Genomic DNA, 14,213 nt, shown 5'->3' on the forward strand with positions numbered 1-14,213 from the left:
CATCTTTCTCACACCTTCCTTTCCAAGTGTGGAGTCTATGAGTTATTGAGCTGACAAGCCTGGGGCAGTGTCAGGGGTAAGAGCCAATCCCTACCTTGTGGCTTTTGTCCCATGTTCACAGGACTAGGGTGAGGTGTTGGAGGGAGAGAGGATGGCGAGGGAGCTGGGCAGTCCCTGGATGAGCGCATCCTCCATCAGCATCGTGTCTTCTGTTCTGAAGGCTCCCAAGACAGTACCTCTGTGAGGGACTCATATCAGCTGAAAGTTACCTTCAACAGAAGTAGACCTTAGAAGGCCAATGAATTAAATTGCAAAGAGAGATAGAACTGCTCCAGAGCCTAGCATATTCTCATTGGCATGATCTGTGCAAGAGTTCCCTGTTGGCCATATGGGAAGCCAGGATGATCAGAAGGTTGCTCTGGGAGCCTATATTCAGGACAAGGGGAGCCGGATGAATCCAGCCTGTGATGGCAAGAGTCTGGGATGGTGGGTGCATCTCTACTGCCTGATGGTAGGGGTGGCCTTGCCTTTGGGGCTCTCATTCTCTGGTTCTGTGCTGACCCACAGCCCTTGGGAGCACACATGTATTAGTCCATTCTCACATTGCTGTAAAGAACTACCTGGGACTGGGTAATTCATAAAGAAAACAGGTTTCATTGACTCACAGTTCCACAGGTTGTACAGGAAGCATGACTTGGGAGGCCTCAGGAAAATCATGGTGGAAGGCAAAGGGGAAGCAGGCACGTCTCACATGGCCAGAGAAGGAGAAAGTGGTCAAAGAGGGAGGTGCCACACACTTTTAAACAATCAGATCTCATGAGAACTCACTATCATGAGAACAGCAAGGGGGAAATCTGCCCCCGTGATCCAGTCACCTCCCACCAGGTCCCTCTTTCAATACTGGAGATTACAACTTGACGTGAGATTTGGGTGGGACACACATCCAAACCCAAACCATATCAACACACTTCTTGCTTTGGGTGGTTTAGCACAACCAACCAGGCTACAATCGGAGAGCTATCCTGTCACTTTTAGGTAGTTTGCATGATCAGTTTCTGAGCTATCTGTAAGGACATTGCATTTAATTTTATAAGTTTATTTATTTATTTGAGTCAGAGTCTCACTCTGTCGCCCAGGCTGGAGTGCAGTGGCGCAATCTCGGCTCACTGCTACCTCTGCCTCCCAGGTTCAAGCTATTCTTGTGGCTCAGCCTCCCAAGTAGCTAGATTACAGGCATCTGCCACCACACCCAGCTAATTTTTTGTATTTTTAGTAGAGAGACAGGGTTTCACTGTGTTGCCCAGGCTGGTCTTGAACTGCTGAGCTCAGGTGATCAGCCCACTTCGGCCTCCCAAAGTGTTAAGATTAGAGATGTGAGCCACCGCTCCCGACCCATTGCATTTAACCTTGAAGTACAAACCAAGGAGGAGGGAAGGGGTAGGGTGAATGGAGGGAAACTAAACTGCACCCACTACAAACTGAGCTGCCTGTCCTGGAACAGAGCTTGCTTTCATCCGTGGTCATAATGAACCATGTTGACATGGAACTTTCTAGCAAGATAAACCACAGTGCTGAACCAGATGCGTTATTTCCACTGTTCAAGCAGGTTTCCATATTAGGGATGCTGACTCCTGAATTTGGGGACTGGAGATTTGTTCTGTGTTGCCAGGTGGCCTGGGTGTCTAAGTGCCTTTTTGTACCTTGTCTCCTCCTGCATAGTGACTGTTGGGTCTCCTGCCTATGCAGAGGACGCTGGAGGTTTGATTTTGATCTTAAGGATAAAAAGTTCGGTCTGTTCAGCGGGGCGCGGTGGCTCATGCCTGTAATCCTAGCACTTTGGGAGGCTGAGGCGGGCAGATTGCCTGAGCTCAGGAGTTTGAGACCAGCCTGGGCAACACAGTGAAACTCTGTCTCTACTAAAATACAAAAAATCAGCTGGGTGTGGCATCGTGCGCCTGTAGTCCCAGCTACTCGGGAGGCTGAGGCAGGAGAATCACTTGAACCCGGGAGGCAGAGGTTGCAGTGAGCCAAGATTGCGCCATTGCACTCCAGCCTGGGTGACAGAGCAACACTCCATCTCGGAAAAAAAAAAAAAAAATTTGGTCTGTTCGTTTTAGGTGTTGCCCGTGGTTGAGAATCAGACCCTCTGCCCAGGGTTTGTGACTTTATTGCACAGAAGGCTGCATCACCCGCAACCGTCATCTTAATACTGCCACCGAATTTCATTTTGCTGTTTTTGTTTGCGAAGGACCTGGAGTGACTCGGATAGAATTACTGCTGGAATAAATGACGTATGAAATGAGAAATCTTTGTCCAGTGTTGCAAGGGGGAGGGAGAGAAGAAAAGAAAGGCTTTGATGGAACCGCTGTTGTACAGAATTAGTTTCCATAAGACCAGAAAATACAGAAGAACAAAATAAAACGTCATCAGATATTTTTCTCCAGATTTACTGAAAAGTCAGGCTTTTATCAATCTCCCAGCACCGCATTCAGGCTCCCAGTGATGGAAAGTAATGGGTCTTGCACCAAACGAAAGCAAACTTCTATTTAGTCTAGCCTGTGGCCTGGGTTCCCCCAGCTCCAGCACCGGGAAGCATGAGGAAGGGGGTGCCCTTCTCCTCAAGCTCCACTCCTTCTTCATGGGGACAAGCTCCACTCCTTCTTCCTTCCATCTGGTTCCCAGTGTCCTTGGATTTGCATCTCCTGTGCCATTTAAAAGTCTGCTCTTGGTCAGGCACAGTGGCTTACGCCTTTAATCCCAGCACTTTGGCATGCTGAGGCGGGTGGATCACCTGAGGTCAGGAGTTCGAGACCAGGCTAACCAACATGGTAGAAACCCTGTCTCTGTTAAAAACACAAAAATTAGCCGGGCGTGGTGGCAGGCACCTGTAATCCCAGCTACTTGGGAGGCTAAAGCAGGAGAATTGCTTGAACCCAGGAGGTGGAGGTTGCAGTGAGCTGAGATCGCGCCACTGCACTTCAGCCTGGGTAGACAGAGTGAGACTCTGTCTCAAAAAAATTAAATAAAAAAAAAAATAAAAATCTACTCTCTTAGGAAAAGAGCTGACAAACTCACTTACACTGAGGTGTAAGGGGCGGCTGAGGGCTTCATTGCTACCCTATCTCAGGGTATTTTAATTTTCAATGGTGTAAAACTGAGCTCCAAAGACCAAACTGAAACTTGCTGCACCAGAAAGCAAACTGCTTTGTCAAGGCCACTGGCTGTAGGTTTCAGCAATACCATTGTCCTCACAGCCTCACTGTTGGACGGGCCTAGTCTCCTGCTTAGGGCGTTTTTCTCCAGGGCTCTGCAAACTACACATCCTGGGTGCCTGCATAATTGGCTGCCTATAGGGGTGCCTTGTTATCTTTTTCTATAAGATGGGGAATACATTGCTTTGCCTTAGACTTGCTGTCATCTGTCCCACCTGGGAGGGACGGGCTGGTGTTCCCTCTGCTGCCAAACACTCCTGGATCGCAGGATGCAACCTCCAGGCTGTGTGCTGATGCAACCGAACAATAGCAACAAGAACCAGAAACATGGAATCCAGGCCAGCCCTCGGCGGGGGCACCTGCCCTTGACCTCCCTCGCAGCACTTCTGCGGGGTGTTTACAAAAACTGCACCTGCTCTAATAGCTGATGGTCGTGCTGGGAGAAAATAATAATCTAAGCCATTAGAGAGAGAGAAGAAAAGAAAGCCAGGACGGGGAAGGGAATGATCCATCCTCTGCTCTATTTTTGTCTGTGCTCCACGCTCACTGAGTGTCCTTGAGGGAGATGCCTAAGTTCTTTGTCTTGGTTTGTTACTGCCCTGGCAAAATCTCATGCATCGCCTGCCAGAACACCCAGGGAATCTCGTGGCTCCCTGACAATGCACAAACACGCTGCCACATTCTTTTTTGGGGGTCCAGAGAGTGGGAGGTAGGGTCAAAAACCACGGGAGTGGAACTGAAATACCCCCATTCATCCAATCATAGGCAGATCGCCTCCTTCTTTAAATTGCCTTTGAAAAATAGCTTTATTGTCTCCGTATGTAATGCAAGTAGGCATTCCCCCGGCAAGTTCGGGGGAGTAGCTGACATTTGTTGACTGTTTACTGTAGGTGTGAACTTTATATGCACCATTTCACTTGATCCCCATTTTCAAGATGAGAGAATTGGGGCTCAGAGGGGTGTAGTCATTTGCCTGGGACGGAACAGGAAGATGTCTGGAATAAGGGCCAGCCCTGGGTAGATGTGGTGGCTCATGCTTGTAATCCCAGCGCTTTGGGAGGCCAAGGCAGATCGCTTGAGGCCAGGAGTCTGAGACCAACTTGGCCAACATAGTAAGATCCCATCTCTGAAAAAAAAAAAAAAAAAAAAAGAAAAAACAGGGCATAATTGTGTACGCCTGTAGTCCCAGCTACTCAGGAGGCTGACATGGGAGGACTGCTTGAGCCCAGGAGCTTGAGGCTACTGCGAGTTATAATCAGGCTATGGCACTCCAGCATGGGTGACAGAGTGATACCCTTTCTCAAAAACCAAACAAACAAACAAGTAAACGGAAAATAGCCAGCCCCAGCACAGAGCTTAGCACACAGCCAGGGGCTTAATAAATAATTAGTGGCTAAATAAGAGTTTTGGAACTTTTTGGGGATGTTTTCCCATCACCCCACTGCCTCTTAATGCCTCAGTTTACTCACTTTTCAAATAGGAGTGTGGACTGGTGGACTAGATCTTTGTGTGTGATGGGGATGCGTTAGGGGGCACCCGTTTCTATCCTTGCTGAGTTTGAAATCACTTGAGAAATAAACACGGGAATCTGACCAATGGAGTGAAAAATATCCACTTTATTTATTGAGAGAAGCTGTGCTTAAGGGCGTGGCTTAGATCCATGGCCACAGTGAGTCTCCCACTAATCCACTCCACTATTTAATGTATTCAGCAAACAGAGCCAGAGCTGGGCAGCTCCCCTGTGGCACAGAGCACATTCCATAAGGCAGAGGGCAGAGCAGCCACACTCTCTCTCTGAGCAGGCAGAACTGTAGGAGAGAGCCCCAGAGGAACTGAGCCAAGAGCAGTTACTTTCTTTTGCAGTATTTCAGGCATGGAGGGGACTCTGGTTCCAGGGTGGGAGGCAGGGAAGGTGAGGGGTTGGGAAAGAGGTCTCTCCCAGAAGCCTTTCACATTTGCATCTAGCTGCATTCGGAATTTATTTATTTATTTAGAGAGACATGGTCTCACTCTGTCTCCCAGGCTGGAGTGCAGTGGTGTGACCATAACTCACTGCACCCTTCAACTTATGGGCTCAAGTGATCCTCCTGCCTCAGCCTCCCAAAGTGTTGGGGTTACAGGCATGAGCCATCACCCCACTGCACCTGGTCTGTGTTCAGTATTTATTATAAATGATGGGCTAAATATTGAAAGGTGGGGAAATGAAGGTCTCGCCAGCCCTGTGAATGACTGGGATTCTGTGTGTGTTCTGGCTTCCAAGTGGGATAATGAAATGGTGCCTCTCTCTGTGTGCGGTTAAACACCCATTCATACCACAAGGAGGTTGTAGTCAGCAGCCTGTCTGGTGGCCCCGTGGGGGTCTCCAGCATTTATACCCTTGTTAATCCTCTCCCCTGGAATGTGGGTGGGACCTATTGACTCATTCTAATAACTACAATGCAGCAGAGACCATGTGTGCCACTTCTGAAATTAGGTTATAATAAGACTGTGGCTTCTATCTTAGGGTGTGCCCTCTCTCCGTCTCTCATGTCACTCACCTGGGAGAACTCAGCTGCCACACCGTGAGGTCCCCTTGTAGATAAGCCACATGGCAAGGGCTTGAGGCCTGTCAGCAACCGTGTGAGTGAATCTGGAGGAGAATTCCCCCTTGTCCCCAGTCAAGCCTAGAGATGAGCCTGCAGCCCCAGCCGACAGTCCCATTGCAATCTAATGAGACACCTTGAGTCAGAGGCACCAAGCTATGCTATGCCCAAATTTCCCACCCATAGAAACTCTGGGATAGTAAATATTGTTTGGGCTGGGCACAGTGGCTCATGCCTATAATTCCAATGCTTTGGGAGGCTGAGGTGGGAGGATTACTTAGGGCCAGGAGTTCAAGACCAGCCTTGGCAACATGGTGAGACCCTGTCTGTACCCCCCCCCAAAAAAAAATAAATAAAAATTAGCTGGGCATGGTGGTACATGCCTGTAGTCCCAGCTACCTGGGGACTGAGGCAAAAGGATCACTTGAGCCCAGGAATTCAAGGCTGCAGTGAGCTATGATTGTGCTACTGCACCCCAGCCTAGACAACAGAGAGACACCCTGTCTTGAAAAAGAAATAAATAAATGAAATAAAAAAATACTGTGTTCATGACTCAGTTGGGGTAATTTGTTATGCAGCAAGAGAGATCTAATGTCAAAGCCCTTTCTCTTTTCTTCTGAGAGGTTCCTGCATGACAGCAGTATCTAGAAGGGCCAGTGATGCTTTAACCCCAAGGCTTCTGATTTCACGAAGCAGGGCTGGATCTCTGAAACGGCACAGCTGAGCAGAGCTTGGGATTGTTTTTCACTCCAGGCCCCAAAGTAGGGACACAGACAAGCTGGGACATGTGACGAGGCTCTGGAAAACAGGTTTAAAAATAACTTTACTAGCTCACACTCTGAAATTTAAGCCATCCATTTAGGAAATGCTGAGTGTGGCTAGAAAAATGAGTTTTACATTGTTATTCTTCAAGAATAAAGTGATAAGTGACTTCAGAGTAAGGGGAAGTGGTTGTTTGCAGAGCTTATTAAAAATAAGCTGTCATTTCTGTCCTATATTACATTTGAGTCACTGGGAGTTAAAACTCAGTTTTCTTACATTTGGGTGTTTTAAGAGACTTTGGACATATTGAAATAAAAGAATGCCTCACAGTTACACAGAAGTGACATTTCCCACGTTTTCCCTTAGAGGGTGGAACGTTAAAAGCTTGCCTAACTCTTTTGGATCCTTACCTAGTAGCTACTTCACAGCCTGGGGAGAAGACAGAAGTAGACAGAGATGCATGCCTGTCTCAGCCGAGACCGGAGAATTGTCAATTGTATTTAGATGAGATATAATCTCAGATATCAAATGTATTTTTTCGTTGTTTTTAATTTCAGTTTTTATTTTGGATTCAAGGGGTACATGTGCAGGTTTGTTACAACGGTTTATTGCATGATGCTGAGGTTTGGGCTTCAGGTGAACTCATCACCTAGGTAGCACAGTATCCAGTAGGTAGTTTTTCAACACTCACTTCCCTTCTTGTCTCCCTCTATTTGGAGTCCCCAGTGTCTGTTGTTCTCACCTGTTAAGTCCATAGGTACCCATTGTTTAGATCCCACTTATAAGTGAGAACATGCAGTATTTGGTTTTCTGTGTCTGCATTAATTCTCTTAAGATAATGGCCTCCAGCTGCATCCAGGTTGCCGCAAAGGCCATGGTTTTGTTCTTTTTTATGCCTGTCTAGTATTCCATGGCGTATACGTACCATATTTTCTTTTTTCTTTTTTTCCTTTTTTTTGAGATGGAGTCTCGCTGTCGCCCAGGCTGGAGTGCAGTGGTGCGATCTCGGCTCACTGCAGGCTCCGCCCCCCGGGTTCACGCCATTCTCCTGCCTCAGCCTCCCGAGTTGCTGGGACTACAGGCGCCCGCCACCTCGCCTGGCTAATTTTTTGTATTTTTAGTAGAGACGGAGTTTCACCGTGTTAGCCAGGATGGTCTCGATCTCCTGACCTCGTGATCCGCCTGCCTCTTCCTCCCAAAGTGCTGGGATTACAGGTGTGAGCCACTCGTACTACATTTTCTTTATCCAGTCCACTGTTGATGGGCACCTAGGTTGATTCCATGTCTTTGATATTGGGAATGGAAATGGCAGCATTTTGGGGATCAGATAGTTCTGTTGCTCTGGCTCTGAGCTTGCTGTGTTTATGATGATGTTCTCTGTAAGTTCTTTGAAAGTGGCTTGTTTTGCCATCATACTTGGAATATTCTAAAGTTAAAAATTTTCAAGGAGACGAATGCCCTTGGATTACTTGATACCTTTCTCACTCTTTCTCTCCTCCCTGGTTTGGCGGATCTGGTAAGGGCCCTGATGGTAGAGTTGTTTGGGTAAGTAAGCTCCCTGGGGATAAACATCAACTTCTGTTGTATCCTTCCCCCTTTGTGAAAAAGATTGCTGTTTGTCCACTTCACCCTCCCTAGAGATAGGCTTTTTAGCTGGACATGTGGCCACCCAGAGAAGAATGATACTTCCCAGCTTCTCTTGCATTGTGGTCGCCTGGAGGTGAGTAGATCCTTTCCTCTAAGGAGATATAAACCAAAGAACAGGGATGTGAACCAAAGTGCCACGTTCCATTTCCAATTTTGCTCTTAAAGGCAAGGAGCATGCTTTACTCTTCCCTTTCCTCTTAGTCTGTTTGTGTTGCCATAAAGGAATACCTGAGGCTGGGTGCAGTGTCTCATGCCTGTAATCCCAGCATTTTGAGAGGCTGAGGCAGGAGGATTGCTTGAAGCCAGGAGTTCCCAACCAGCTTGGACAACATAGGGAGACCTTGTCTGTACAAAAAATTTAAAAAATTAGCCAGGTATGGTGATGTGAACCTGTAGTCCCAGCAGCTTGGGAGGCTGAGGCAGGAGGATTGCTTGAGCCCAGGAGTTCTAGGCTGCAGTGAGCCATGATCACGCCCCTGCACCCCTGCCTAGGTGACAGGATGAGACCTTATCCCAAAAAAAAGAATACCCGAGGGTTGGTAATTTACAAAGCAAAGAGGCTTATTTGGCTCATGGTTCTGCAGATTGTACAAGAAGCATGGTGCCAGCATCTGCTTGTGGTGAGGACCTCAGGAAACTTCCACTCATGGCTGAAGAGGAAGGGCAGCCTGCATGTCACATGTTGAGAGGGAGCAAGAGAGAGAGAGAAGGTGGTGCCAGACCCTTTTAAACAACCAGCTTTCTTGTGAACTAGTGGAGCAAGAACTTGCTCAATTCAATGAGGAGGGCACCAAGCCATTCATGAGGGATCTGTCTCCAAAACCCAAACACCTTCCACTTGGCCCACCTCTGCCATTAGGGATCACATTTCTTTTTTTTTTTTTTTCTTTTTCTTTTTCTTTTTTTTTTTTTTTGAGACAGAGTCTCACTCTGTCGCCCAGGCTGGAGTGCAGTGGCGCCATCTCAGCTCACTGCAAACTCCGCCTCCTGGGTTCACGCATTCTCCTGCTTCAGCCTCCCGAGTAGCTGGGACTACAGGCGCCTACCACCACGCCCGGCTAATTTTTTGTATTTTTAGTAGAGACAGGGTTTCACCATGTTAGCCAGGATGGTCTCGATCTCCTGACCTCGTGATCCGCCCTCCTCAGCCTCCCAAAGTGCTGGGATTACAGGTGTGAGCCACCGCGCCTGGTCAGGGATCACATTTCAACATGGAGATTTGGAGGGGATGAACGTCCAAACTGATTCACCTCCTATCTGCCACAGGCTGGAATGCAGATGTAGTTTTGAGTCAACTTGGACTACAAGGAAGAGGGCAACATTTAGGGATAGTGGGGAGGAACTTACAGCCTGGGCCCCTGAGGACTTTGCTGTGCAAGACTGCCATCTTCCCTGGTAAAGCTGGTGTCATTTTAGGTCTCTGTCACAAACAGCAGAACTGATATGCTAACTCACATCCTTTTATGTCTCCCAGGGTGCCCATTACTGGGCCTACTATAGAAGACACTCAATGTTCATTGCAGGTGTACTTTACCTTTCTGTGGTTTACAGCTAGTTAGGCCATTAGAATCTTAGAGTTGGGAAGAATATTCTAGATAACCTATCTGGTCCACTGATATGATTTGGCTCTGTGTCCCCACCCAAATCTCATCTTGAATTGTAATCTCCCTAATCCCTACATGTTGAGGGAGGGTCCAGGTGGGAGGTGATTGGATCCTGGGGGTGGTTTCCTCAAGGCTGTTCTTGTGATAGTGAGTGATTTCTCACGAGATCTGATGGTTTTACAAGGCAGTTTTCTCTGATCTTTCTTGTCCTCTCTTGCTGCCACCATGTGAGACGTGCTTCTTCCCCATCTGTCATGATTGTAAGTTTCCTGAGGCCTCCCCAGCCATGTGGAGCTGTGAGTCAATTAAATCTCTTTTCTCTATAAATTACCTCTTTTCTTTATAATTAAACCTCTTTTCTTTATAAATTACCCAGTCTCAGATATGTCTTTATGGCAGTGCGAAAATAGACTAATACATCTACTCTTCAATGATTTCAGTGTCTGCTCATCATTCTTGTCTAATATAATTCCGGCTTGCTTTATGATGTATAACATGTTGGGCGACCTTAATTCTACTAAAGGTTTCTTTTCCACAAGCAGAAATATGCAATCCTTCAACTTCCTTTGCTATTGTTTCTCTTTTCTTTTCTTGTCTTTTCTTTTCTTATTGAGATGGGGTCTTGCTAAGTTGCCCAGGCTGGACTCAAACTCCTGAGTTCAAGTGACCCCCCCATCTTGGCCTCCAGAGTAGCTGGGACTACAGGTGGGTGCTGCTGCATCCAGCCCTTTAACTTCCTTCGATCTTGTTCTTATTTTCCTTTTTGAGACCTCATAAAACAGCACATTTGGGGGCAGATAGTATGAGGAATGAGAAAAAACAACGGCCAAACTTGTGCAAAAATGAAAAATGTCTGTTCATAAAAGGACTGAAACAAGTCTATTGAATTTGGCCATGATGAGGTCATGATGTCGTTGGCAGGATCAAGAGTTTGTGGAAGCCAGATTGAAGTGGGGTGGGGTGTGAAATGAGAAAATGGGAAAATGGAACCGATGTGGATGACTATGCCAAGAAATTGGATTGAGAACTGGGGAAAGGGAGATGGAGGTGCAGGGTTAGAGGTGGCGTTTTCTGTGCCTGTGTTTAGGAAGGGAGTGACTAGAGCAGTTTAGCAGTTAAGAAGAGAGTGTGGATACAGAACTGCTCCAGCATCCGCCTGCTGCTACTGCATGCCCAGCTCTGCTCCGTCCAGATCCTGCCTGGCTGCACAGGCACCTCCTGAACTCTTCTAGTTCAATGCATCCTTCTTGGCTCCCACTTGCTCATTCTCTCTGGGTCTGCTGTCATCAGGGAGAATGCTTGCCAAGGTCATTAAGGGTTGATTGACACTAAGACATTTCAGTAATTCCTGGCATTTGGAGTTCTGACACCTAACACTGTAGCGTTTGGTTTCACGGCTCTTTTATTTTCTGGGAGCATTCCAGTAAGAGAGAAGAGAGCCTGATGGTCAGGAGCTGAGTCTTTGGAGACACACAGATCTGAGTTTGAACCTCAACTCTGCCCTTTATTAGTTGTGTGACCTTGAGCAAGTCATCCCACTCCTTTATCCCCATCTGTAAATAAAATGAGATAATAAAAATGCCAACCCCTTAGGCTTATGGTGAGGAATGAAGAGAGATTACGTGACAACTTTGTGGAAATGAAGATTTTAGAATGAAGGCAGAGACTGGGATCCCTCCCATTCCCAATACTTGGATTAAAAGTTGCCCAGGTGCGGTGGCTCATGCTTGCAACACTGAGGTGGAAGGATCATTTAAGGCCAGGAACTGGAGACCAGCCTGGGCAACATAGTGAGACCTTATCTCTACAAAAAAATTTAAAAATTAACTGGGCATGGTGGTGCACACCTGTAGTTCTAGTTGCTTGGGAGGCCAAGACGGGAGGATCACTTGAGCCCAGGGGTTCAAGGCTGCATTGAGCTATCATGGCACCACTGCACTCCAGCCTGGGATACAGAGCGAGACCCTATCTCCAGAAAAAAAAAAATCAACCAAAAAAAACCTCTGTCTTTTGGGAAGGACCCCTAGGAAGAAATGGATGTTTCTCAGGAAAAGCAATTAATCGATGTCACCTAGCCCCACTCTAGGACCTTCCAAATGCCTCTTGGTATCTGTGTTCTTTTCTTGGCTCCTGGATAATAAGTGGTTGAAATAATTACGTTCTAAGTCTTTGGCACCCATCTGCCCTCGTCCTCCATCCACTCGCTTGGTGGAGCCTTTGTCATTGTCGACAATAATATGACTGAAGTCTGTGGGCTTTTCTAACCCCACACATGATCTATACCAAGTGGGAAGATTCTGTGGGGGCCGTGCTAAGAGAGTGTGCTAAAAAGAGAGACTATTTTAAAAAACCATCCTAATTTTGTGAGGCAGAATGTTGTTGCCATTTTTACTTTGTGCTGCCTGTCATCCACGGGTGTAAAGAAGGGCACAGGTATGGAGTAGTCTATGCTCATGGTGACATTCCAGGCACATTTGTTGTCCTTGGGATGTTTGGAAAAGGGGGAGGCAGGTGGAAAATTTGGCCATGTCTGGCCAAATCTAGGTGAAAAAATAATGCTTTGCTGTGAAAGAGTGGAGACTTGGGAGCAATCTCTGGGCGTATGTGCAACCTCTAGTTCTGGGTCTCTGAAGGTTAACGCCCTGTGGACACTGGGGACTGAACTGGTTTAGATTTTTCTGTCTCTTTAATGGGCAAAGGCTAGAGATAATGAAGGTGAGTTCTGTGTGTAAATTAGTATTTCAAATTAGCTTCTGGAGGTGGAAAATTCTTTTAAAGAGGAGCACAGAGATCACTCAGTAAAAACAGGAGAAATCAATAGGGGAAGACTGGTGTGAATTGGGAAAGGTCTGCAGAGAGCAAGAGAGCAGGTTTTTTTTTTTTTTTTGCAAAGGTATCTTTGCACTCCTACCCTGTATAAGTGAGATTTTGCCTGGACCCCATAGCTGGTGGCCTTGTAAAATCAGAATCACACCTTTGGAAAGCCATTTGGAAGTACATACTCCGAGCCATAAAAATATTTCATACCTCTGAACTAGTAATCTTCCTTCTGGGAATTTATGCTAGGGAAATCAATCATAAAGGGGGAAAAGTGCCACATGCATGAAAATGCTGATGGCCTCATAGCTTTTTTCGTTGTTTTTTTTTTTTTTTTTTTTTTTTGAGACAGAGGCTTGCTCTGTCACTTAGGCTGGAGTGCAATGGCGCGATCTCTGCTCACTGCAACCTCCACCTCCTGGACTCAAGCAGTTCTCCTGCATCAGCCTCCTAAGTAGCTGGGATTACAGGCACCCACCCACCACTCCTGGCTAATTTTTGTATTCTTAGTAGAGATGGGATTTCACCATGTTGGCCAGGCTGGTTTCAAACTCCTGACCTCAAATGATCTGCCTGCCTTGGTCTTCCAAAATGCTGGGATTACAGGTGTGAGCCACCACGCCTGGCCCCTCATTGCTTTTAATATTAAGAATTTGGAAGCCACCTAAAAGACTAATAGGAATGGAATGGTCATTTAAATTATGGTATATTTAATCAATAGACTGCTATACATTCATTAAGATTATACTTATGAGGCCAGGCGTGGTGGCTCACGCCTCTAATCCCAGCACTTTGGGAGGCCGAGGAGGGCGGATCACGAGGTCAGGAGATCGAGACCATCCTGGCTAACACGGTGAAACCCCATCTCTACTAAAAATACAAAAAATTAGCCGGGCATGTGGCGGGCGCCTGTAGTCCCAGCTACTTGGGAGGCTGAGGCAGGAGAATGGGGTGAACTCAGGAGGCAGAGCTTGCAGTGAGCTGAGAACGCGCCACTGCATTCCAGCCTGGGCGACAGAGCGAGACTCCGTCTCAAAAAAAAAAAGAGATTATAATTATGAATACCCTTTAGAAGCTTGCATCTGTCTGAAATAAGTACTTTTTATGATATAAGCATAATGTAAATACTTGTCTGTACAATTGACTTTTTGGGGGGAGGGGGGAGGGGCAAGGTTTTGCCATGTTGCCCAGGCTGGTCTTGAACTCCTGGGCTCAAGTGATCTACTTGCCTCAGCCTCCCAAAGTGCTAGGATTAGAGGCATGAGCCACCACGCCCAGCCTATTACTGCTTTTCCTCTGCTGGGTTTGTGTTTGGTTTGTTCTTATTTCTCTAGTTCCTTGAAGTGTGAGCTTAGATTGTGTATTTGTGCTCTTTCAGACTTTTTTAAATGTTTATGTTTTTATTTGTGTTAGTATTTATCTTGAAGAAGAGTGAAAACATAATTAAAGAAGTACTGGAGAATGTTTTAAAATAGTACCATCATAGACAAAAATACTAACCTCGTTATAGCTTTGGGGATAGATGGGGAAAACATGAGAAAAATTTTTTGATGGCTACAATTGTCTCTTGAACGATGCAGGGGTTAGAG

General features: G+C 46.6%; 1 protein-coding gene across 4 annotated transcripts in view, besides 1 other annotated feature; it reads left to right on the forward strand.

The window, feature by feature from the left end:
* The window catches only part of GALNT17 (polypeptide N-acetylgalactosaminyltransferase 17), a 581,456-nt gene that overhangs the window by 101,027 nt on the left and 466,216 nt on the right, over window positions 1-14,213 (forward strand). The window lies entirely within an intron of this gene.
* Window positions 5,907-6,407: an enhancer, noted in NCBI's record as "H3K27ac hESC enhancer chr7:70704063-70704563 (GRCh37/hg19 assembly coordinates)". NCBI's record gives its function as "activates a minimal SCP1, AML or CMV promoter by ChIP-STARR-seq in primed H9 embryonic stem cells {active_cell/tissue: H9 hESC(primed)}" and the evidence as "EXISTENCE:reporter gene assay evidence [ECO:0000049][PMID:30033119]".

This window comes from Homo sapiens, chromosome 7 (assembly GCF_000001405.40).
Source record: "Homo sapiens chromosome 7, GRCh38.p14 Primary Assembly".
NCBI lineage: Eukaryota > Metazoa > Chordata > Mammalia > Primates > Hominidae > Homo > Homo sapiens.